The sequence below is a fragment of the Homo sapiens genome, chromosome 1, assembly GCF_000001405.40.
Source record: "Homo sapiens chromosome 1, GRCh38.p14 Primary Assembly".
Lineage (NCBI taxonomy): Eukaryota > Metazoa > Chordata > Mammalia > Primates > Hominidae > Homo > Homo sapiens.
In genome coordinates, this window is record NC_000001.11 from 67,351,714 (window position 1) to 67,378,761 (window position 27,048).

At 41.0% G+C, this 27,048-nt stretch overlaps 1 protein-coding gene across 20 annotated transcripts in view; it reads left to right on the forward strand.

Annotated features, from left to right (window-relative positions):
- IL12RB2 (interleukin 12 receptor subunit beta 2) overlaps nucleotides 1-27,048 on the forward strand; it is a 91,361-nt gene that overhangs the window by 44,350 nt on the left and 19,963 nt on the right. For 11 of the 20 annotated variants that reach the window (NR_047584.1, XM_005270827.3, XM_017001203.2 and 8 more), the window contains 3 exons: nucleotides 16,112-16,312; nucleotides 20,723-20,821; nucleotides 20,912-21,070. Coding sequence is in view for 18 of the 20 variants with exons in the window: in XM_005270827.3 (XP_005270884.1) it covers nucleotides 16,112-16,312; nucleotides 20,723-20,821; nucleotides 20,912-21,070 (459 nt within the window). In the remaining 2 variants the exon portion in view is untranslated. Of the gene's footprint in view, nucleotides 1-3,774; nucleotides 3,961-16,111; nucleotides 16,313-20,722; nucleotides 20,822-20,911; nucleotides 21,071-27,048 lie in introns of those variants that run through there. The other 9 variants (NR_047583.1, XM_011541384.3, XM_047419665.1 and 6 more) reach the window with 3 other exon arrangements.

Sequence of the window (27,048 nt, forward strand, 5' to 3'; positions counted from 1 at the left end):
AGCCCTTTATTGCACAAGTTTAGACACGTATCCAATTACCTTTATCAGAAAATTCCCAACTAGATGTAGAGTCTCACATTTTATAGTCATATCCTCTGAAAATTAACTTCTCAGGATAAAAGCTCACAATTAGGCAAGGAAATTGATATTAATCCTATTTCTCAAGATCTGTATTATAAAAGAATTCCATGTCAAGTTCATTGGCCTAACTTCAAAAAATGCCTAATAGAGTAAAACTCTGTAATGAGATCCTTTCTTAAAATTCAGTATAATAATTTTATCTACCAGTGGGTTTAGCAATCTTCATTTTGAAAAAGTCTACCAAAATACTATTATTTAATATACACTGTTAAATCTTGGTTATATATCTTTTCAGTCATATATCTGTACAAAGAAATAAAGTATTAGATAAAATACTTAGAAGAAAATACAGGTAAGTATTAATGTATATATACAAGTAAACAGTATATGTATAGTATATGCATATAACCTTGGGTTGGTGTATGAGTTAGGAATTTCTCTTAGGGTTAGGGTTGTTCTTACCAAAAGCCTGACTATAGGAACTTATTTATCCTCTCAAAAAAAGAGAAGTCCAGAGGTAGACAGCCTAGGGCTGGTGTGACAGCCTCATGATGCCATCAGGGCTCTAGGGTCCTCCTTTCTGTTCCCTCTGCCAAGTTTGGCTTTCATCCTTATGATGGAAATGGTCCAAAATGGCTGCCAAGGCTCTAGCTATTTCCTTCTAGACAGCAGAAAAGGAAAAGAAGGGCTCAGCCCTTACTTTTAAGGAGCTTTACCCCAGGTCTCACAACAACACTTGCATTCATCAGCCCACTGGTCACCTGGTCACACCCAGATGCAAAGGAGGCTCAAAAATATATTAAGGCAGCAATGTTCCCTTGCTAAAAAAAGATGAGGAGAAGGTGTTTGTAGGCAACTGGTAATCTCTCTCTATATTTATCAATATAACTTTTTCAAATATATGAAACTTTGGAATATGAACAAACAACTCAAAAAGAAGTATAAAAGGAGCAACAAAGATATGAAAATGTTTAGCCTAACTAGCAATTAATGAGATACAAATTTTGAGAAAACCTGAGAAACCAAATCAGACTGAGAAAGAGTAAGTAGAATGAACATACCCATGTTGGTGAGGGTGTGGGGAAGATACTCTTGTACACGCTAGTGAGTGTGTAAATTGGTACAACTTACTAGGGAGCAACTTGGCAATATGTAACAAACTTTAAATTAAACTTGTATCTTTTGACCAGGTAATTTTAGCCTTAGAAATGTATACTCAGCATATCATAGGATAAGTGCTTAAAAATGTAAGTACGAAGATGTTTGTTGAAAAATTGTTTGAAACAGTGAAACACCATAAACAACCTAAGTGTATAATAGTAAAGAATGGACTGGTTAAACTCACCATGACCCTCAACTGCTTTAATCCTACACCAACATTAAAGGGATGTTGTAGCTATGTTTTTCATTGACATGGACAGATACACATTATAAGTGAAAAGGTAAGATTTTAAAAGTGTATATGAGGTGATGCCATCTTAAATACATATTTACAACTAGCGCGTGTCTCACACCTCTAATCCCAGCACTTTGGGAGTGCAAGGTGGGAGGATTGCTTGAGCCCAGAAGTTTGAGACCAGCCAGGCCAACATAAGGAAAAAGATACAAAAAAAAATAAAAATAAGATTAGTCAGCTGTGGTGGCTCACGCCTGTGGTTCCACTACTTGGGAGGATGAGGTGGAAGGATTTCTTGAGGCTAGGAGGTTGAGATTGCAGTGAACTGTGATCGCACCACTGCACTCCAGACTGGGTGAAAAAGTGAGACTCTGTCTCAAAAGTAAATAAAAAATAAATAAACATTTACATGAGCACGTATTTTTTGAAGGGTAAAATTTAAAAAATATCTAGCTGAATATAGATCAAAATGTTAACAGAGATCATTTGTACATCTGGAATTACAAGTTATTTTTCTTCCCTTTTGCTTTTTATATTTAAAAATTTGTTCTTCAGTGGCTAAGTACTGTGTATGTAATTTTTAAAGTGAATTCTGTGGTTCTATTCTGCTGTTTTTAAAATGAAATAAATCAGAATAACTTACTTCTTCAAACCTCACTGCAGATGGGTCTTGAGGTTTTAAACCTCATGAATTCTATGGTCCCATTCCAGGTTCCTTAGTTAGATTTGGTGACAACTTCTCAAATGTCACATTCATTATGTTAGAGTTCATTTCTACTTTATTCATTCAACAGTCATTTTTGAGCATACACTATATAAGGCAGTTGGAATCCAGCATAGGTAAAAGATACAGTCGAGGTCCTCAACTTATATTTAGCCAAGGGGGAGGGTCAGACATATGAGCAAGTAAAGTGCAGTACAGTAGAATAAGCATGAGGTAAGAGGTATGCATGGGGGCTCTAGGAACAGAGAAAAGCCAAAGCATGAGCTTGGAGAGGAGGCCAGGAGAGCTGGTGGCATGCGTACCAAGTATAGAGAGACAAAGTGGTGCTAGCCAGGTGAGGGAGAGCAGGTGTGCAGGCGTGAGGGTTTGTTTTAAAGTGAGAGCTGAGCAGGCATAGGACTTGAAAGGAAGAACCAGAGATAAGGAAGAAGTTGAAGACAAAGGAGAGGGAGGAATAATAGAATAAAGTCCCTGGGGAGATGGGAGATGATGAGGAGCCAGTGACCAAAAGAGGGAAGAGGAACACTTCATCCTCTGAGAGTGGACAGAGGACCATTGATCATAGAATGCTAAGAATGAGGTTGATGCAGAGATCACGTCAGGAGGGAAAGAAGGACATGAGGCAATTCTTCAGAGCCGAGCTGTCGTTAAGAGGGTCTTAGAAGTGCTGGAATCTCAAGGGCCTCTTGCCTCTCCTAAGATCACACCTGAGCCATTCAACACAAGTAGTTGTGTGTCCCAGAAGGACCTGGAGAACAAATTGGCGAACTGCATGGTCCTGTCTTTGAGGACTTTGTCTCACACATACCTTGAATGATCTGTAGGGGTAGAACATGACTTTGTGCCTTCTCCTTTTTCAGTATACAGTCATACTATTTACATATGTATCTTTTCTTCAAGAAAAGGATACAATAATGCCCCAACATTATTTAGGCTGATTTATGCTGATTTTGAGAGACCAGAGACAAATTTATTGTAAAAAGCACCTGCCATAGCATTGTATATCAAGAGGCACAAGAATGATTTTGTTAGCTTATGATAAAAGTTACATGCTAGCCAGGCATGGTGGCACATGACTGTTTTCTGAGCTACTTGGGAGGCTGAGGCAGGGGGATTGCTTGAGCCCAGGAGTTGGAGGCTGCCGTGAGCCATGATCGTGCCACTGTACTTCACCCTGGGCAACAGAACAAGACATTATCTAAAAAAAAGAAGGCCAGGGCCAGGCGCCGTGGCTCACGCCTGTAATCCCAGGACTTTGGGAGGCCGAGGCAGGTAGATCACTTGAGGCCAGGAGTTCAAAACCAGCCTGGCCAATACAGTGAAACCCTGTCTCTACCAAAAAATACAAAATTAGCCAGGTGTGGTAGTGTGCGCCTGTAGTCCCAGCTACTCGGGAGGCTGAGGCAGGAGAATCGCTTGAACCCGGGAGGTGAAGATTGCAGTGAGCCAAGATCATGCCACTTGTACTCCAGCCTGGGCAACAGAGTGAGAGACCCTGTCTCAAAAAGAAAAAAAAAAAAAAAAAAAAGGAATGTGTGCTAAACCTACCAGTCAACTAGTAAAATGTATTAAATATTTCAAAGATCCAGCCCTTCTACTCAAGACCTCTTGAAACTACAGGAAGAGTCAGAAGCCAGTATGGTCATAAACACAGGCTCACAGAGATGGCAGAGACTGGGGCCCAAGGAGGTGAAGTAACTGAGCCAAGATCATACATCCAATAGTGGCAGAGCTACATGGAAAACCAGACCACCCTTGGGTGAGCACTTTTTCCAAATGCCTTCTGAACGTTATAACTTCATACAGAAGCTCTCAGTGAAAATGGAGATGGGAAGTTGAATGATTGAGGCTAAAGGAATAATTTTGAAAGGTGACAGGGAGAAGGTGAGTTGTTAGCAGACTTTTGAAGGAAAGAACATGCCCCAGCAAACATCATGAGAGAGGAAATTCTAGGTTGGTTCCTGGCAAGTGTGGTGACTCAGAGACAGAAGAACCCTAGGCAATGCCAAGTTGATTTACTTAGCTAATTCCAGAGAAAGTAGTGGTTAGAAAGGCTCTTTGGCTTTTTTACCTCAATACTTGGCAAAGGATCTCGCAAACCATAGTGTTCAATAAATACTTGCTGAATGAGTAAATTTTATTCTCAAAAAACAAAACAAAATAAAAAGCCCACAGTATAACTGGGACATCAAATACCAAGGCAAGTGAAGACAAGGAACCATTGCTGGGAATTCCAGTTCCTGACAAGATGTCCAGTACACTGTCTACAGGCTCTACCACTAAACCTGGCCCTGAAGCTGCTGCAGAGAGATAAGATATGGATGGCTGAGTTCCCCCTCTGGGGAATAGTGATGAAGCGGGGAGGACCAAGGGAGCTTTCTACTTGTTCTCTTTGTTTTTTCCTCTTGTTATCCTGTTGTGATCGCTGCCCAGGAATCTCTATGATGGGGTAGGAAATTCTGGGGAGCAGTGCAGAGTCACTGTCAAGGCAGCCCTGGAACCTCACTGGGGAGGAGAGCTGGGAGCAAAGAGTGCCTGTGAGCTGGCTGACCCTTCAGCATTTTTTTCCTGCCACCCATCCCATGGGCCTGGCAGTTTCAAACAAGAATAATAGCTCAATTCCCTCACGAAAAGCAGTGCCTACCACAGAGGTACTAGTTTGATTCTGGAGGTACAAGTATGCCTAAGGGGTGCCTGGGGACAAAGAGCTCAGCTTGTATCACTGCAGGGTCTCTGGCCTGGAGCTTTCCAAGCTGAAAAGCCCTCCTCTCTACCCTAAACATACATGGAGGACCATGAGCTATAGCTGTACTTTGACTCCTCTCCCTATAAAAAAAGAAAAGCCAAGGTTGTTGACCAATCAAAGAAAATAAAACATGATCCCAAAAGAAAACATCAAGACAAATGTGAAGACCACAAGCCCTGGGAATGACAGGCAACAAATCAGTATCATAGGAAACAGAACTAATGCAACAGATAGTACAAAAGATTAGAATAAATGTAAAAAGCATCCTTAGAAAGATAAGAGAGAATACCAAAACATGAATCAGAAACAGGTAGTTATGAAGAAAACCCAAACAGAGTCAGCATGGAATGTTTAGGGGATTTTTATGTGATGTTAAACAGATTGCTTATTCACTCTTAAATATAGCATGTTTTAGGCCAAGCATGGTAGCTCATGCCTGTTATTCTGGCACTTTGGGAGGCTGAGACAGGTGGATCACTTGAAGCCAGGAATTTAAGACCAGCCTGGCCAACATGGCAAAACCCTGTCTCTACTAAAAAAATAAATAAATAAAAATAAAAAAGAAAAATTAGCTGGGTGTGATGGCGCACACCTGTAATCCCAGCTACTCAGGAGGCTGAGGCACAGGAATTACTTGAAACTGGGAAGTGGAGGTTGCAGTGAGCCAAGATCATGCCACTTCACTCCAGCTTGGGTGACAGAGTGAGATTCTGTCTCAAAAAGAAAAGAAAAGAAAAGCATGTTTTATTAGAATAACCTCAAAGGGCCATTAAAGAAAATGATTTCAGTATTGTATAGCAACAAATAATAGAAGCTAGCAAAAGTGTTTTTTTTAACCTTTGAAGTTTCTAATATACTTTGTCTATTTAGAAAACAAACACATTTAGTTGTTTCCATCTCTTAAACTTCAGTTGCATTGCATTCTTCAAACATCTTTTCATATTAGGGCTTCATGTGGTTTGAACATTTTGCTAGAATACTATTCTACTTTTGTCTGAGAGTGGTCAATTACATCTATCTTTTCCAGCATACAAACTCCAATATATTTAAGAGAATGCAAGGAAAGTTTAGTTATTGAAACAGCTAACTCAGCCGATGGGATGAATAGCAGAGAGGACTGATCTGAAGATTAAATTAGTGAGAGGAAGACTAGGGGTGAAATTCTTCCATAAGGTGTAAAAAAATGGGTAAGAAATTGAAAGATTAGAAAAATTAAAACACTGAAAGAGCAGAAATAGAAGTTATATCAACCATCTAAAAGGAGTTAGAGTAGAGGAAAAAAATGGAGGGGAGCAAATATTTGAAGACTAGTGATCAAGAATGTTACAGAATGAAAGAAAAACATAAGATTTCAAGTGGAAAGGCCTCAGAGTGCTAAACTCAACATAATTTTTTTTTTCATTTTATTGTAAAGTGTAAGGACCTTAAAGCCAAAGAAAAAAGTATAACAATATTTAGGGAGAAAAAAGCAAATCACCTACTAAAGAAAAAGAATCAAAAGGACACTAGATATGTCAATAACAAAACATATAAAAATACAATAACATAATATCTTCAAATGGAAGAAAGGAAAGAACTTTAAATCTGGAAATGTTTCTCCAGCTAAACTATCATTTAAAAATGAGAGAGAACTGGCTGGGCATGGTGGCTCACGCCTGTAATCCCAGCACTTTGGGAGGTCAAGGCAGGCAGATCACCTGAGGTCAGGAGTTTGAGACCAGCTTGGCCAACCTGGTGAAACCCTGTCTCTACTAAAAATACAAAAATTAGCTGGGGATGGTGTTGTGGGCCTGTAATCCCAGCTACTTTGGAGGCTGAGGCAGGAGAATCGCTTGAAGCCAGGAGACACATGTTGCAGTGAGCCAAGATTGTGCCACTGCACTCCAGCCTGGGCAACAAGAGTGAAACTCCATCTCAAAAAAAAATTAATTAAAATTAAAATTAAAAAAATTAAAATGAGAGAGAACTTAGGTAATAGAGTAAATTCAGAGGAACAAGATGTAAGGATAAAAGAGAGAGAGAGAGAAGATGCAAATAAAACACCAAGCAAAACAAGAGGGAAAGAATATTTCCCCTAGTAAAAGTAAACTTTCAAACCTAGCTGAAATAAACTTATGGTTAAATACTGTAAAAGCTAAAAAATTGGCACAAAAATATTTTTAAATTTTAAATAAATAAGTGTTAAGAATAAAAAACTTAGCCCAGGTGCAGTGGCTCATGCCTATAATCTCAGCACTTTGGGAGGCCAAGGCAGGCAGATCACTTGAAGCCAGGAGTTCGAGACCAGCCTGGCCAACATTGTGAAACCCCGTCTCTACAAAAATACAAAAATTAGCCAGGCATAGTGGTGCACGCCTGTAGTTCCAGCTACTCAAGAGGCTGAGGCACGAAAATGGCTTGAGCCCAGGAGGCAGAGATTGCAGTGAGCCAAGATTGTGCCACTGAACTCCAGCCTAGGTGACAGAGCAGGACTCTGTCTGAAAAAATAAAATAAAATAAAAATAAAAAACTTATTTATATACAACATGCACTCCAAAAAAGCCCCAGCCCCACATTGTTTTACAACTGAACTCTGAATTCAATGTTAGTTCAAGTTGCTATGGAAAATATAAAATAAAGAAAGCTGTCCAATCTATTTTCTAAGACGAATTTAACTTTGGTATTAAAATCAGATAAAGATAGCACAAGAAAAGTTATTGCCTAAATCACTTATGAACCTTGACACATAACCTGATGAATGAGAGATGTAAATTCAACACATGTATTAAAAATTAGTGGAGGCTGGGCACAGTGGCTTACACCTGTAATCCCAGCACTTTGCGGGGCTGAGTCGGGTGGATCACTTGTGGTTAGGAGTTCAAGACCAGCCTGGCCGACATGGTGAAACCCTGTCTCTACTAAATATACAAAAATTAGCTGGGAGTCGTGGCATATGCCCTTAATCTCAGCTACTCCAGAGGCTGGGACAGGAGAATCACTTGAACCTGGGAGGTGGCAGTTGCAGTGAGCCAAGATCATGCCATTGCACTCCAGCCTGGGCAACAGAGCATCTCAAAAAAAAAACAAAAAAACACACAGTGGTGATACTTTCAGTTTCCAGTCTAGCATCTAAGGCACTTTGGAAGTCATCATTCTGTCATAATAACAAGTAAAAACTCAACAAACTGGAAAATCAACACTTCTTCTTTGACCTATGAGAAGTGAGGTTATATGGCAAGCCACTGCCCCGAAAATTGAAGAGATAGACAGGTAAATACAGAGAATCACAAATTACCATAGCAAAAATCCCCAAGCAGAAAACTTCATGGGAACCAGTGCTGAGGTAAGAAAACCTAACTGTAACTCACAAATTGCTGGAGGCTCAGAACGGACAAATCTGAGAGTTAAAATCTCCACTGGGGATCAGTCATAGGAGGTCCTCACAGTTTTGTGAGTTTTATCTTATGGAGCTTGACCAGGGGCTGGGCGCGGTGGCTCACACCTGTAATCCCAACACTTTGGGAGGCTGAGGCAGGTGGATCACTAGAGGTCAGGAGTTTGAAGCCAGCCTGGCCAACATGGTGAAACCCCATCTCTACTAAAAATGCAAATTAGCCAGCGTGGTAGTGCGTGCCTGTGATCCCAGCTGCTTGGGAAGCTGAGGCAGGATAATCACTTGAACCCAGGAGGCAGAGGTTGCAGTGAGCCAAGATGGCGCCACTGCACTCCAGCCCGGGTGACAGAGCAAGACTGTCTCAGAAAGAAAAAAAAAAAAAGGAGATTGACCAGGTTATCACAGTGAATATCAGAAAAATCCCCCATGTTTCTCTCAGTGGGAGGGAAAAAGGAACCGTTATAAAATACATCAGAGTTGGCCAGGTGCAGTGGTTCACGCCTTGTAATTCCAGCACTTTGGGAGGCCAAGGCAGGCAGATCACTTGAGGTCAGGAGTTTGAGACCAGCCTGGCCAACATGGCAAAACCCTGTCTCTACTAAAAATACAAAAATTAGCTAGGCGTAGTGGCACGTGCCTGTAATCCCAGCTACTTGGGAGGCTAAGGCAGGAGAATCACTTGAATCCAGGAGGCAGAGGTTGCAGTGAACCAAGATCACTCTACTGCACTCCAGCCTGGGTGACAGAGGAAAACTCCGTCTCAAAAAAAAAAAAAAATACACCAGAGCATTCTGTTCTTAACAAGGCCTGCCCTCCAAGGAAACTGTTTTAATAGGGCTGAACTATTGGAGTTTTATCAGAACCTAACCAGCCTGGTGGGAGGAACATATCTAATTCCATCCTAGTCTGGCCTTCTATGTGGAGGGAAAGGAAATACCCAACTCCAATCCCCTCTATTCTTCTAGGTGGGAGAAGGAAAATACCCAACTCGAGCCCACTGTAGCCATCCTATCCCACTTAAGAGGGGAAAACTGATAAGCACTGGCAAGTTCCCAGTACAGGAGCACAGCCTCACAAAAAGACTGGGATGTAATCATAGGGTTATAGAATGCTTTCTTTCCCCCGACACCTTTCTACCACATTACTAAAAGCCCATTTACTGCATATGCTTTTACTTAGTAAATCATATCCACCTTTCAACAAAAAATTATAAGGCATTCTAAAAGGCAAAAAACAAACAAACAACAACAAAACAACAGTTAGTTGAGATACAGCAAGCATCAGAACCATACTTGGATATGGCAGGGATGTTGGAATTATCAGACCAGGAATTTAAAACAACTATGTTTAATATGCTAAAGGCTCTAACAGATAAAGTAGAAAACCTGCAAAAACCGATGGACAGGGTAATCAGAGAAATTAGAATTCTAAGAAAGGGTCAAAAAAGAAATGCTAGAGATCAAAAACAGTGTAACAAATGAAGAATGTCTTTGATGGGTGATTCGTAAAATAGACATATCTGGGGGAGGAGTTTTTGAGCTTGAAGATATGTCAATAGAAACCGCTAAAACTGAAAAGCAAAGAGAACAAAGACTGAAAAAACATAACAACATATACAAAATCTGTGGAACAACTACAAAAGATGTAACCTACACATAATGGAAATATGAGAAGGTAAAAAAAAGAAAGGAATAAAAGAAATATTTGAAACAATAATGAATGAGAATTTATCAAATTAATGTCAGACACCAAACCACAGACCCAGGAACCTTAAAGAACACCAAACAGGGTAAATGGCACCCTCCACCCACAAAAAAAACTGTACCTACATACATCATTCAAATGGCAGAAAATCAAAGATAAAGAAAAAACTCTTGAAAGAAGCCACAGGAAAAAGAAAACTTTATAAGACCAAATATAAGAATTACATCTAACTTCTTCAAAGAAACCATGCAGGCCTGGCGCGGTGGCTCACGCGTGTAATCCCAGCACTTTGGGAGGCCGAGGTGGGTGGATCACCTGAGGTCAGGAGTTCAAGACCAGCCTGGCCAACATGGTGAAACCTTGTCTCTACTAAAAATACAAAAATTAGCTGGCCATGGTGGCATGTGCCTATAATCCCAGCTACTCGGGAGGCTGCTGCAGGAGAACTGCTCAAACCTGGGAGGCAGAGGTTGCAGTGAGCCAAAATCACGCCACTGTACTCCAGCCTGGGTAACAAAGTTAGACTCTGTCTCAAAAAAGAAAAAGAGGCCGGGCGCGGTGGCTCACGCCTGTAATCCCAGCACTTTGGGAGGCCGAGGCGGGTGGATCATGAGGTCAGGAGATCGAGACCATCCTGGCTAACAAGGTGAAACCCCGTCTCTACTAAAAATACAAAAAATTAGCCGGGCGCGGTGGCGGGCGCCTGTAGTCCCAGCTACTCGGGAGGCTGAGGCAGGAGAATGGCGTGAACCCGGGAAGCGGAGCTTGCAGTGAGCCGAGATTGCGCCACTGCAGTCCGCAGTCCGGCCTGGGCGACAGAGCGAGACTCCGTCTCAAAAAAAAAAAAAAAAAAAAGAAAAAGAAAAAAAAAGAAACCATGCAAGCAAGGAAAGAGTAGAGTAAAATATTTAAAGTATTGAGAGAAAAAAAGCCCATCAACCTAGCAGTCTATACGCTGTGAAATTATACTTTAAAAGTGAAGGAGAAATAAGGACTTCCCACATAAAGATTGAAGAAATTTGTTGCCAGCAGACCTGCCTAGCAAAAAATGTGAAATGAAGTTTTTCAGAGAGAAGGAAAATGAGATAGGTCAGAAACTTGGAACTATATAGAAAAAGGAAGAACATCAAGGAAAAAATAAGTGAAGGCAAAATACAAACTTTAATTACTCGTTTTTTTTTTTTGTGACGGAGTCTTGCTCTGTCACCATGCTGGAGTGCAGTGGCATGATCTCGGCTCACTGCAACTTCCAACTCCCTGGTTCAAGCGATTCTCCTGCCTCAGCCTCCCAAGTAGCTGGGATTACAGGCACACGCCACCACACCCGGTTAATTTTTGTATTTTTAGTAGAGACGGGGTTTCACTATGTTGGCCAGGATGGTTTTGATCTCCTGATCTCGTGATCTGCCTGCCTCGGACTCCCAAAGTGCTGGGATTACAGGCATGAGCCACTGTGCCTGGCCAATTATTCTTATTTTTTTTTTTTTTTTTTTTTTGAGACAGAGCTTTGCTCTTGTTGCCCAGGCTGAAGTGCAATGGCGTGATCTTGGCTCACCACAACCTCCGCCTCCCAGGTTCAAGCGATTCTCCTGCCTCAGCCTCCCTAGTAGCTGGGATTACAGGCATGTGCCACCATGCCCAGCTAATTTTGTATTTTTAGTAGAGACGGGGTTTCTCCATGTTGGTCAGGCTGGTCTCGAACTCCCAACCTCAGGTGATTCGCCCACCTCAGCCTCCCAAAGTGCTGGGATTACAGGCATGAGCCACTGTGCCCGGCCAATTATTCTTATTCTTAATTGACCTAATAGATAGCAGTTTATTCAAAACAATAATAGTAACAATGTATTTGATTACATATGTTTGTGTATTATAAATGCTTATGCATGCTTATATATAAGTGAAATGAAAGATAGCAATGAATCCTAGCAAGGGATAAGAAGGAGGACTTTGGATTATTTTGCTATTTAAGGTATTTCTGCTACCCATGAAGCAGTATATTGTTATTTGAAAGGGGACTTGAATTAGTTGTAAATGTATATTGCAAATAGTAGAGCAAGAGCAAGCACTAAAAACCATTTTAAAAGAAATATAACTGATATGCTAAAAAGGGCAGAAAATGAAATCATATAAACTGATCAATTAAAACCACAAATGGCAGAAAAAGAATGACAAACAAAATGAGGGATAGATGACAAAGGCAACAAATAGAAAATAGTAACACATGTAGTACATATTACTCCAACTCCATCAAGTTATTTTGAACATCACTGGACTAAAAACAGCAATTACAAAACAAATAGTCAAAGTGGATAAAAAACAAGACCCAACTATAGTTGTCTATAAGAAATCAAATTTAAATATATAGACATATAGGCCAGCACAGTGGCTCACGCCTGTAATCCCAGCACTTTGGAAGGCTGAGGCAGGCGGATCACTTGAGGTCAGGAGTTCAAGACTAGCCTGGCTAACGTAGTGAAACTCTGTCTCTCCTAAAAATACAAAAATTAGCCAGGTGTGGTGGTGCATGCCTGTCATCTCAGCTACTTGGGAGGATGAGGCAGGAGAATCACTTGAACCCAGGGGGTGGAGGCTGCAGTAAGCCAAGATTGCACCACTGCACTCCAGCCTGTGAGACAGAGGGAGACTCTATCTCAAAATAAATAAATAAATTTTAAAATTGACACATATAGAGCAAATGTAAAGAGATAGAGAAAGATATGCCATGTTAACATTAATGAAAAAGAAGCTGGAGTAGCTGTATTAATTTCAGACAGAACAGACTTCAAAGCAGAGAAAGTTATCAGTGGTAACTGGGAGCATTACTTAATGATAAAGGAATCTATTCTCAAAGAAAACATAACAATCTTTAATGTGTATGGACTTAACAACAATCAAAATGCATGAGCCAAAAACCAATAGAACTGCAAAGAGAAATAGATGAATCCACTATCATAGTCAGACTTCAAGACCACTGTGTCAGAAATGGACAGATCCTGCAGACAGGACAAAGACTGCAGACAGAAAATCATTAAAGACATAGTTGAACTCAACAGCATCCTCAATCAACTAAACATAATTGACATCTGTAGCCAACATCATCTAACAACAGCATAATACACATTCTTCTCATGCTCATATGGAACATTCACCAAGATACACCATATTCTGGGTCATAAAATACACCTTAACAAATTTAAAAGAATAGATATCATGCAATGTCCGCTCCCAGACCACAGGGGAAATAAACTAGAAATCAGTAACAGAAAGATAGCTGGAAAATCCCAAAATAGAGATTAAACAACACACTTCTAAATAACACATTGGTCAAAGTCTCAAGAGAAATTTTAAAATATTTTGAACTAATTGAAAATAAAAATAAAACATCAAAATTTATGGAATGCAGCAAAATCAGTGCTTAGAGGAAAATTTATAACATTGAATGAATACATTAGAAAAGAAGAGAGGTCTAAAATCAATAATCTAAACTTTTGCCTTAGGAAACTAAAGGAAAAATGGATCAAATAACCCCAAAGTAAGCAAATAGTAATAATAAGAGAGGAAATCAATGAAATTCAAAACTGGAATAAAGAGATAAATTAATGAAACCAAAAGCTGATTCTTTAAAAAGATCAATAAAATTTATAAAATTTCTAGCCAGGTTAACTAAAAAAAAGAGAGAAAGAGGATGAAAATTACCAATATCATAAATAAAAAGGGGCTATCATCACTGATCCCATGGACATGAAAAGGATAATAATCAAATACTATGAACAACTCTGTGCCCACGAATTTGATAATCTAGATGAAATGGACCAATAGTCAGACATTACAAAGCCTGGTAACATGAACAGTGTTTTCTGGTAAAGTGGCCAAGCCAGACACAGACCCATGATGATATGAAACTTGGTATATTACAGGGATGAGATGCCAAATGTGATGACATTGGGAAAAATTGACTCACCATGTGGAAAAATAGTAAAATGTATTCTCCCCCTGAAAAAAAAACCTTTTGTTGGATTTGAATTTAAAAACCCATTAAATGTGAAAGGTAAAACTAAAAACCAATAGGAGAAAATGTAGTTGAGTATCTTCATGACCCTAGGATAGAAGGGTCATCTTAAGGGGCCATAGGATAGAAGGGTCATAAATAAGATGTAAAGTACACAAGCCATGGATAAATTTACCAACATCAAAGTAGCTATATATGTGTCATTAAGTTATCAGAGAGTTGACAGGCTAGGTAAGATACTGTTGAAAACTGTTATGTTAAGACTAAAATCTACAATATAAAAAGTTGTCTGCAAATCAGAAAGAATGCAGGAAACCCAATGGAAATGAGTGAAGTACATGAATTGGCAGTTCATGGAAGGGGAAAGTCAAATAACTAGTAATATATGAAAAGAAGCTTAGCTTCATAAGAAATCAGAAAAATGGCCGGGTGCAATGGCCCACACCTGTAATCCCAGCACTTTGGGAGCCCGAGGCGGGTGGATCACCTGAGGTCAGGAGTTCGAGACCAGCCTGGCCAACATGGTGAAACCTCGTCTCTACCAAAAATACAAAATTAGTTGGGTGTGGTGGCAGACGCCTGTAGTCCCAGCTACTCGGGAGGCTGAGACAGGAGAACTGCTTGAACCTGGGAGGCAGAGGCCGCAGTGAGCCGAGATGGTGCCACTGCACTCCAGCCTGGGCAAGATAGAGCAAGACTCCATCTCAAAAAAAAAAAAAAAAAAAAAAGAAGAGAAATCAGAAAAATGAAAATAAAACCACAATTAAATACCACTTTATATATACCAGATTGATAAAAATTAGAAAATCAGAAAATACTAAATATTGGTGGAGAAATGAGAGCCTTCATGCTTTTCTTGCTGGAGTGTCAAGTGGCTATTTTAGAGATAAATCTGGCAGTATTTTGTAAAATAATATGTGAATTTGCTCTATAATCAAGCAATTCTATGCATATATATCCAGAAACACAGAAACATTCTTGCACAGGCACACAAGAGAACATGCAAGAGAATATTCATTGCATCCTTGTTTGTGTTTGCAAACACTCCAAAAGAACTTCCTGCTTGTCACTCAAACATTGGACAAGTAAAGGGTTTAGGTAGCAATCTGAAAAAATGAGTCGGATTTACATAATAGCAGCTGGATGTATATGTCCCAGAAACATGTTGAGTGAAAAAAAGAAAAAGCATTAGATTTATCTCCCAATACATTTCATGAAAATTCAACACATACGCACAAAATAACACTAAATTTCAAGGATAGGAATTTGTCTAAACAAATATATGAAAGGTGGATTAGAAAGATGTCTAATATATTCACAAAGATTAGGCACCTTTGAGGCTATAGAAATGGAAAAAGGAATGGGGCTGGGCATGTTGGCTCATGCCTGTAATCCAAGCCCTTTGAGAGGCCGAGGCAGGAGGGTCACTTGAGCCCAGGAGTTTGAGATCAGCCTGGGCAACGTAGCAAGACCTTGTCTCTGTCTAATAAAAAAAAAAATTAGCTATGTGTGGTGACATGCACCCGTGGTCTCAGCTACTCAGGAGGCTAAGGTGGGAGGATCACTTGAATCTGGGAGGTTGAGGCTGCAGTGATCTGTGCTTATGCCACTGCACTCCAGCCTGGGTGACAAAGTAAGATCCTGTCTCAAGGAAAAAAAAAGAAAGAGAGAGAGAAGAAAAAGAAAAAGAAAGAAGGAAGGAAGGAAAGGAACGAGGGAAGGAAGGAAGGAAGGAAGGAAGCAAAGAAGGAAGGAAAGAAGGAAGGAAGGGGGAGGGAGGGAGGAAGGGAGGGAAGGAAGGAAGGGAAGGAAGGAAAAGTAAAGAAAGAGAAAGGAAAAGAAGGGGAAAATAATTGTACACATGACATTTTACGTAATGTTTGAACAAGCTGATGTTGTTAGTTCTCCATGAACTGAGAAATGAAATGAACTTAAATCTGTGACTCCAAAGTCTTTAAAAGTAAACAGATTCTTCCTAAAACTTTTTCGTTGGGATAAGCTGTTTGGCTTTTTTTGTTGTTTAAATCTTTATCCCTCCTCTTTTTTTATTTTGTTTCTCCTCTTTCTGTCCGATAAAGGGTTGCTGGCTCCTCGCCAGGTCTCTGCAAACTCAGAGGGCATGGACAACATTCTGGTGACTTGGCAGCCTCCCAGGAAAGATCCCTCTGCTGTTCAGGAGTACGTGGTGGAATGGAGAGAGCTCCATCCAGGGGGTGACACACAGGTCCCTCTAAACTGGCTACGGAGTCGACCCTACAATGTGTCTGCTCTGATTTCAGGTACCTAATTGTTCACCTTCCTTCTAGAGGGTTACTAAGTTCACATTTGTTTGGGGAAACTGCAGGCAAGAGCCAGAACCCTGCCTTCAATTACAGGTGGCTACATGATGAGAGAGACTGATGACCTAGAGTCCACCCAGCAGCACTTTAGACTACTCCACTGCAGACATAAATGACCAACTGGTTGACTAAAAGCTCTCTTATTTATGGAAAATCCATATCCCTAGCACAATGCCAAAGAAGATGAATGAATAATTGAACCAAACAAGTATGGCTGAGAGCTAAGTTAACTGCCCAGTGTAATAGACACCTTTATTTATCATAGCACACTGCATGATAATACATGAGGCCATCCTTAACCCTGTGGGGAGTTCATTTATTTAATAACTCTTAAAGCAATCATGTTCAGTAAGAGTCGGTATGGCCATTATATAAATGAGGAAACCAGGAAATCCTTCATTCACAATTCTGTTACTTATTAATTGTGTAATACTAAATCCAGAATTATCTATAAGACAATTGGTATTTCTAATCCTCAGTTTCCTAATCTGTCAGTGGTGAGAATCAAGTGAGAGAACGCATCTGAAAATATATTAAAATGATTGGGCAGAACTTAGTTAATGTCATTGTTAAGCATAAATTCAGCACTGAATTGAATCAGTGGTTTAAAGTTCTGGCTCTGCAGCCATACTACCTGGGTTCGAGTCTTGGCTCTGTCTGTGTGATCTAGGGCAAGTTACTTAACCGCTTTGTGCCTCAGTTTCCTCATCTGAAAAATGAGGATAATAATATTACCTACCTCGTTGGGTTATTGTGAAGACTAGCTGAATTACTTCGTGGAAAATGTTTTGAACAATGCCTAATATATTTTAAGGGCTCAGTAATTTAGCTCTCATCATTATTATTGTTACGTGAGACAGAGCTAATATTTTAAGGTTTTCAAGCTCTAAATCCTATAATGTTTCTATAACAATCATTACACCTGTCTAGGAGGAAATACACACCCTGCTTAAGGTGACAAGATTTATACAAATGAAATAAATAGCACACTGCATAATCATACATGAGTCCATCCTTAACTGTGTACCTCTTTTGTAGTCTGACTGCTCAGAGTTCTAGCAGGTTAATTTTTCATCACTACCCTTAAATAGAATGCTGCCTACATAACCTAGTCAGCATCCAGAGGAAGATGACCAAGTTATTAGGAGCCTGGAACTTCTAATCTGGAAACCATTTAGCCTAGAAAGAGAATTCTAGATGGGCATGGGAATGGGACGGCTTGACGGCTGTTGCTGGTTTTGACATTACACATAAAAGAGTATGTTTTCTTTTGTTGCTCTGGAGAGGAAAACTAAAACCCTGTGTGGAAATTATAAAAGAAGTAGCTATCAGCTCAATTTTGAAAAAGAAGTTTCCTGCCTTTGATGTTCTCTAATGGGACAATCGATTACCTCTCAAGGCAGTGTGTTCCCTGTCCCTAGAGTTTTTGCAGTAGAACCAGTTTTCTTTCAGGGCTGTTATGCCCATCAAATCAGGTGAAAGTGAATAGAAAAAGCATTTACCAAACTTTAAGCTGCTAAGAAATTGTAAACATTATTATAAGCTGTATTAGGACTTACCCCTGTGGGATAGTTTGAACTACATGGCAAGAGAGATGTTTTCCATACTTAGTGAAATAAGTGTCTTTATGCACTTTAGAAGTAATATTCATTTGAATAAAATCAATATACTAGGCTGGGCGCGGTGGCTCACGCCTGTAATCCCAACACTTTGGGAGGCGGAGGTCAGGAGTTCAAGACCAGCCTGGCCAACGTGGTGAAACCCCATCCCTACTAAAAATACAAAAATTAGCTGGGCGTGGTGGTGGGCGCCTATAATCCCAGCTACTTGGGAGGCTAAGGCAAGATAATTGCTTGAACCCGGGAAGCGGAGATTGCAGTGAGCCGAGATCATGCCATTGCACTCCAGCCTGGGTGACAGAGTGAGACTCCATCTGAAAAAAAAAAAAAAACAATATACTAATGAATAAAATAACTTTATTAAATTAAAGTTGTTCTCCTGCTTGGAAACACTTGGTTAGCTATTAGCTTATGTTGATGTTACAGTCTGAAAATAAACACTTAAAAATTAAGCAATTCATGGTTATTATTAATTCAAAATGGCCCCCTCTAGTCAGTAAGATCACTCATTGTTATTGATTTTCACCAGCCTTTTCCCAGCATCTGGCTGGGGCAGATTTGGACATTTTGGAGTGGGCCAGAATACAGCCCGGCTCCTGATTTATAGGTTGGTGGAGGCTAGGCTAGAGACCAGTCCTGTCCTGTCCTGTCTGGGTGAAAATGCTTCTGACCGTATAGAGCCACTCCTTTTACAAATACATAACATCATGGTGTCTAGAAAACCTTCCCTGCACCTAGAGTTGTTGGGGGCCCTCTTATGCCTTCTTCTTCCTCGTTACTGGTCATTTAATGTTTGCCTTCTCCCACACTTAACAGGTGAAATTAGCTTTCTGCAGAAAAACCACCTAAGTGATGGTTTATAAACATGGGGGCAGGGACTTTGCTGAAGGGTACTAGGTATGTATGTATGTATGGGAGTGGTGGGAAATGAGTCGGAAATTGCGGCCAGACTCTAGAAAGGAAATAAAAGTCTGAGGAGTATGGGCTTCATACACTGAAGGTTTTGAGATGGGGAGCAGATATTGTTAGAGAGTGTTCATACAAGAATCAGCCAGTAAAACAGGAGTTCTTGAGGCCAGAACTGGGGAAGAAGCTTGCTAGGAGGGCTCTACTCTTGGTGGAAAGGGAAATGTCAACTGAATTACAGAACCACATTGTCTTCTCTCCTCCGCTAAAGGTAAGCCATTCACAAAAATAAACCACAACTTCTAATGCAGCAGTTCCCAAGGCCTCTGCCCTGAACTCACATTTTGAATGGCAAAATACAATGGAACTGTCTGCCTAACGAGCTCATCTGGAACTCCCATGCCTCCATAAGGCGGTGGTTGGTTGGCCCCTTTCACGACTAGGGGCAGAACAGCCAGGCACTGGGGGCTGAAAGCTACTCACTGGCCCCTCCCACATTAAATATGATTTCATATTCCATGTTGCCCTTTGGGCTTCTTGGTGTCAATGCCACCCATGAGGAATCTTTGGATTACCATACTAAGCTGACTGTGTCCTTTTCTCCACTTCGCTTAGTTCATGAACTCAAATTGGAATTTACCCATGGCATGTGTTTTGATCTTGTCATGGTCTCTTCTGACAGCACTGGTTGCACAACTGAGTTTTATGTGCTGTCTATTTGCTGGAATATTTAATGAGCAATGGATTTTCATATAAAACACAAATAATTTAATAAATTTTTCTATGATATAAAATTATTCTTCCTGAAAAAAAAAAAAGTTAAACCCTAATCAACTGTCAGTGTAGGGGACCCTGGCTACCTATCGGCAGGGCATTAATCAATACTGGGTAGGGTTCTTACTTTGACTCCCTGATACTATAGTTACCTAGTAGGACTTATCTCTTTTTCCTTTAAATGTTCATTTGAAATGTAAAAGTATTTCAGGAGAGGTATCTATGAAAGGGGCCTTTTATTCACAAGTAGTAGAAATCTGAGATTCATGGAAATAAGGAATTTTGGTGGGGAAGAAAGACTTGCCAATAAGCTTCATGACTGACAGAAAATTGAAAGTGCGGCGCTTTAAAAGCCAGGAAGGAGCATTAACATTCCCAAGTACCTTTTAAATCTTCCAGGCTGGGAAGCAACTGAAATCTAACTGGAACATACAGGGAGAGGAGATGGGGTAACAAGGGGTCGGATTGCACCCAGAGCACCCTGGTTAGTTATGCCTGAGTGTGTCATCTGCCCTGTCAGATCTTGATAAGCATCGCAGAATTAGAAAAGCTATTCAGGTTCTATGCCTGCAAAATTCCAGCCTCACTTTCCTGTAAACAGCAAATGCTTTATTTGTAGGAATCAAAAGGTTTTTTTTCTTGAAGGCAAGTTGTTTTGTTTGTTTCAAAAGCAGTCTGGGTGCGTGTGTGTGTCTGTGTGTGTGTGTGTGTGTGGTTATATTTAAATCCGTGTTGGAACTCAAATAGCTTTTGTCTCCTTCTTAATCATGGTGATCCTGTTTGTTTATATGGAAAGAAACTCAGGTTGGTTGGTTGGTTGATCTCATCCTTTGAAGTTGGGAGCAGTAACTTCCAGAAGCCAACGTCATGGCAAATCAGATGCTGAGAATTTGTAACATAGGTCATCAGTCCAGACTGTGCTTGAACCATCTTTAAACTAGGAAAAGGCAAGAAACACCTTGAAAGCATTTGTATCAGATAATAAAATGGCTCCCTTTAGTGACTCACCAGTAATGGCACGGCTGTTATGGGAATTCCCTTTTCCTTGCAGAGAACATAAAATCCTACATCTGTTATGAAATCCGTGTGTATGCACTCTCAGGGGATCAAGGAGGATGCAGCTCCATCCTGGGTAACTCTAAGCACAAAGGTGAGTCTTGGGATCTTTTGCCAAATTTTGCTTTAGTTTAATGATTTGGATTTGGAGGGTGACAGAAGCCTCCTGTGCCCTACTTTACAGCACCACTGAGTGGCCCCCACATTAATGCCATCACAGAGGAAAAGGGGAGCATTTTAATTTCATGGAACAGCATTCCAGTCCAGGAGCAAATGGGCTGCCTCCTCCATTATAGGATATACTGGAAGGAACGGGACTCCAACTCCCAGCCTCAGCTCTGTGGTATGTGTGAGAACCAAATGCAGTGAGTGGGGCCTTCTTGTTTGGATGTCAGGAAAACACAAGGAGGTGTGTGTGCACATCTACACACATGTGCTAGCGCAATGCCTGGCATATAGTAAGTACTCCATAAATACTTGTAAAGTTAACTGAATGAAGAATTAGAAAAGACATCTAAACACACAAACAGAAGGTTATTGAATATGTGTTATGTGCCAAGCAAATTGCTAAGGATACAGAAATGAAGTAAATGGACTAGTTCTCAAGGTGCTTACTCATATGAAGAGACAGAATTTCAACAAACAATAAAGTCACTTCAGTACTGTATAGACTTCTTTGTTTTTTTAAGACAGTGCCTCACTCTGTTGCCCAGGCTGAGTGCAGTGGTGCAATCACAGCTCACTGCAGCCTTGACCTCCCTGGGCTCAAGCAATCCTCCTGCCTCAGCCTCCCAAGTAGTGGGAACTACAGGTGCATGCCACCATGTCCAGCTAATTTTTTAATTTTTTTGTAAAGACAGAGTCTCCCTGTGTTGTCCAGGCTAGTCTCCAACTCCTGGGCTCAAGTGATTTGCCTACCTCGGCCTCCCAAAGTGCTGTGATTACAGGCATGGGCCACAGCGCCCCGCCAATCCTGTATAGGCCTTGAGGTTCACAAGAAATGCCTCTGGAGAACTTTTAAATCCCCACATTTGCAATTACTATTATGGCATATTATTTTCTTCTTAAAATGGATAAAATATGATACAGTTTAAGTAACCCTTTATGGCCCAAAATTATTCTATAAGTATAAAACTAAAGCAATTAAAATAAACTCTAGCTAGAGTGTTGTCTCAAATGATGTCATGGATCACTCATTCATGTACAGCTCCAAGTCACTTGCCACACTTGATGTTCCAATCTTTGATTTATTCAGAGTTTTTGTTTTTCTTGACTTGACCTTCTCTTTATTTTGTAAGCAGCTAGCTTTCAGGAACATTTGTCATAAAGAAGGAACATTTGTATTTCTTAATGAGAGTTAGTAGGCCCAAGAACAATGCAACAAAGCCACCCTAAGATGCAGCTGCCAGAGAGCTGCCTGCAGGGGTGATTTTCACCTGGGAAGCTTTATGAGTTGGTCTTCTCTCTTGACTTTAAGAGGTCCGCAGTGTGACTTTAAAAGCTGGTTAATTTTTATTATATAAATAATACTAAAACATGAAGATAGTTCAGAAAGATATAGAAAGAAAATTCGTCTTCCCTTCACACTTAGGCTGTTAACAGTCCCTTGTGTAGTCTTCCAGAAAAAAACAATTGATGCATGTACAAGAATATAGTTGAGATCTTTTTCAACATTCTGATCTACACCTTGCTTTTACCTCTCAATAATACGTGGTAGAGACCTTTCTACATCCATCCATGTGAACTTATGTCATTCTTTTTTATCATCTCTGTAGTATGGCATCATAAGGGCTTATGGTCATTTGTTGAACAAATACACCATTGATAAACAGAACATATCACTGATCAGAACTGCTTCCCCCTGGACTTGACCCAGAGTCAGTCAGTTCTGAAATGCACCCCAAGAGGTAAGGAATCAATTGATCTCTTCTTCAGCCATCTGGAATTCCTCATGTGAAATTTGCCCCCCAAATAACTTTCATTTTGGCAGAGTTTAAATTGAGATACCTGTTTGCAACCACATGGTCTGTTTATTCTTTTTTTTTTTTTTTTTCATACGGAGTCTTGCTCTGTTGCCTAGGCTGGAGTGCAATGGCACGATCTCAGCTTACTGCAACCTCTACCTCCCGGGTTCAAGTGATTCTCCTGCCTCAGCCTCCTGAGTAGCTGGGATTACAGACATGTACCACCATGCCCTGCTAATTTTTGTATTTTTAGTAGAGGAGGGGTTTCACCATGTTGGCCAGGCTGGTCTTGAACGCCTAACCTCAGGTGATCCGTCTGCCTTGGCCTCTCACAGTGCTGAGATTACAGGCGTGAGCCACCCAGCCCAGCCTCTTTTTTTTTTTTTTTTTTTTTTTTTTTTTAACAGTAAGCCATCTACTTTAATAGTCAAAGCCTCTTGAGTCTGTTGATTCTTAAAGCTGCTCTTATGGATGTTGAAGAAAATGCCTTCCTTATTTTGTCACAAATCTGATGACTCTAAAGCCTGCATAAGGGTATTTAAAAATAAGCTAAAAGGGGAGGGAGAGTGCAGATTCACAGTCCTATTTTATACTAGTTTAGGTTAAATTTTCATTTAATTCAGTAAGTATCTGTTGATGGATAAGACCTATTCCCTATCTTCAACAAGCTCACAGTCTATGAGGGAGATAGAAAAGTACACAAAAGGAGGCTGGGCATGGTGGCTCATGCCTGTAATCACAGCACTTTGGGAGGCCGAGGTGGGCAGATCGTTTGAGCCCAATAGGTCAAGACCAGCCTGGGCAACATGGTGAAACCCTGTCTCTACCAAAATTACAAAAAATTAGCCAGGCATAGTGGTGTGTGCCTGCAATCCCAGCTACTCAGGAGGCTGAGGTGTGAGGATCACTGAGCCCAAGAGGCAGAGATTGCAGTAAGCTGAAATCGCACCACTGCACTCCAGCCTGGGCGACAGAGATGGACTCTGTCTCAAAGAGTGAAAAATAAAAAGGAAAAGTACACAAAAGGGATGTAACTGTCATAATCAAGGACTGACAACTACTTATTGCATTTGGCAACCAGAAATCATTGGTGAATTCACAAGGGCACTTTCTAGAGAGTGGTAGGAGGTGGTAGGTTGAGGAGGAGGGAGAAAGGCAAAGCAGGAAGGTGTTCTGCCTTGATGGCCCCCTCTTACTGGTGTTTCAGCACCATTAACCAGGCAGCAGTATTAAGGGCATATGTGGAGCACAGTAAGGGCAAAAAATGAAGGACCTGCCTTGGCAGAGGAGGGTAAGGTGTAGAGCCAGGGAGGAACCCAGGTATCTGGATTGTAATGAGTTATATGGGTGGTTCTGTGCACAGCCACTCCTCTGGAAGCTTGTCCATATTGCCATGTTGCCATGTGTACCAGTAGAGCCACGGCCAGCACATTTTTCTTTTTCTTTTTTTTTTTTTTTTTGAGACAGAGTCTCACTCTGTTGCCCAGGCTGGAGTGCAATGGCGCGATCTCGGCTCACTGCAAGCTCTGCCTCCCGGGTTCACGCCATTCTCCTGCCTCAGCCTCCCGAGTAACTGGGACTACAAGCACCCGCCACCAAGCCTGGCTAATTTTTTGTATTTTTAGTAGACACGGGGTTTCACCATGTTAGCCAGGATGGTCTCAATCTCCTGACCTCGTGATCTGCCCATCTCGGCCTCCCAAAGTGCTGGGATTACAGACGTGAGCCACCGCGCCTGGCTGGCCAGCACATTTTTCTACTGGAGAACACATTATACTTTGCTACTGCCTAGTAGTGTTTGCCAACAGTCTCTAAGCATCTTAAGGGAAGAAGCCATGGCAATTTGCTCACCATTGTCTCCTCATACCTAGAATACAGCCAGACACATGGTAGGTGCTTCATAAAAATAAACAGCTGAATACCACTCTACGCTTTGTGAAATCCAATGTAGATCGTTAAAAACTTGTTTCCAGTAGCAGTGCAGCTGTTTTGTCTAGTACCACTTGACCTTCCTATCTACAGCTTTTCCAACGACTGGCAACTATCACATCTTCCTACACTGGTGCCTTTATCATTGAATCACCCTGAGTGTAAGTTTTCAGACCGCCAAGGATTGAATGGCCTCTTTTATCTCTGCCAGAGATCACAGCCCAGAGGGAGCAGGACCAGTATTTCCTGCTTGACTTCTTGACTTCTTTCTTCTATTCAGCCTATTTTGCCAACCAAACTGCTGACACCATCATCTTCCTCACTGCCTCTTCCCATAGAGCTTCTATTTTTGTTCTCCTAATATGTGTGCGTGTGTGTGTGTGTATGTGTGTTTGGATAAACTTTATTGGCCCAGCAACCCACACAAATCCCTTCCCTTCTGTTCCAATATCTCATTTCACTCCCAGAGTTAAGGATGCCCTCACAGAGTTGGACAGTTGATTCCCTGACACTTGCTGATGTTCTGCTGCAGCAGGAGGAACAGAAGGTCTCTCTAAAATTAATTTTTTAATCCCCTGTGTTAGGAATAGAGAAAGGGCTTTTTGAGCTCAATCATATAGCTTAAGTCTATGCAAGCAATCTCACCAGGCTAGAGTAGACTTGAGAATTTTCCACAAGGACTTTTCTCAACAGGATGTAAACTATAGAAATTCTGTGATAGTCATGGTGAATAAATTATCTGCATGGGCCTCAACCCCTTTGGGTGGAGTAGAGGTAATATTATAGGACTTCATCTTGCTGATTACCCATAGTAAGCAGGGATGGGATAATGGAAGGGGTCTCTTTTCCCCATTAGATAGTGGACTCTTTGAGGCAGATTCTTTGCTTTTGTATTGTCAGTGCCTTGTCCAGTGTAGGCACTCATATTTATGACTGTTGAAATAAATTCAGCATGCAAGACATCTCTGACTTGCCCTGGAGTTTGTGAGCCAGTATATGTTGAGTATATGACGCTGAGTTCTAGTTTTCCCTGTGATCACCAGCATAGATGAAGTCATCTCAATGAGCTAGCAGGTGTGAAAGGAAAATAAACTCTCAAGACCCCAAACTCACTATGCCAAAAGAAAAGATAAGCTTGGGAGCTGAGTCATGCAAAAACTGCCTTTCTTTTGTTACCAAACAGATAGCTGTAACTTCACATGCTTACTTTATTTTATGTCAAACATAGATTTACTGAGTTCCAGAAAAATGCATAATTGACCCTTTACCCCTCCTTTCACATGTAAAATGTAGATTCACTGAATGCTAATCAAAGCCTCACAAGACCACTTTGCCTCATTGCCTATCTTCCCCACCCCCCACCCATTTTTTTCCTTCCCAGTTTCCCCTCTCTTTCCTTTTTAAATATTGAGGTCCTCAGCACAGGTCACAGATCCTATTGTAATTTGTGTTTCTTTTTCAACCTCAACCTCAAAGTTGGCAAAATGAACCTCAAAACCCACTGAAACTCGGCGGGGTGCGGTGGCTCACGCCTGTAATCCCAGCACTTTCGGAGGCTGAGGCAGGCGGATCACCTGAGGTCAGGAGTTCAAGACCAGCCTGGCCAACATGGTGAAACTCCCATCTCTACAAAAATACAAAAATCAACCAGGCATGATGGCAGATGCCTGTAATCCCAACTACTCGGGAGGCCACGGTGGGAGAATTGCTTGAACTCAGGTTGCAGTGAACTGAGATTGTGCCATTGCACTCCAGCCTGGGTGACAGAGTGAGACTCCATCTTAAAAAACAAAACAAACAACAACAACAACAACAAAAACCTATTGAAATTTGTCTATTTTGTTTTTAGTTGACACAGGCTACTTCTGCTAGAGTGCTGGCCTTGACTCTGCCATCCTCCCCAGCTTTTGAAAGGTCACTCCAAAATCCAAACCCAACAGGCCACTGGAGAAGATTGTCTATTCATTAAAGGCTACCTACACTCATGTTTCTTAGATTAAAAAACAGCATCAGTGTATTACTCAAAACACAAAATCTTCCCTACAGAGAAAACTGCAGGGGTGTTGAGAACATAAGGAACTGGTAATCTAGGTTTACAGCTGCCAAATCTAATCTAAGTATCGGTGCTCTAGTTTTTAATGATTTTATGTCAGACTGAATAAGATCCTCATTAAGCTAAGGGCCTAGAGCCTACAAATGGAAAAGTGCAAAATCAAAGTTTAAAAATGTTAAGTGAGGCCAGGTGATGTGGCTCATGCCTGTAATTCCAGCACTTTGGGAGGCTGAGGCGGGCAGATCACCAGGTCAGGAGTTCGAGACCAGCCTGACCAACATGGTGAAACCCCATCTCTATTAAAAATACAAAACTTAGCCAAGCATGGTGGCGTGTGCCTATAATCCCAGTTACTCAGGAGGCTGAGGCTGAAGA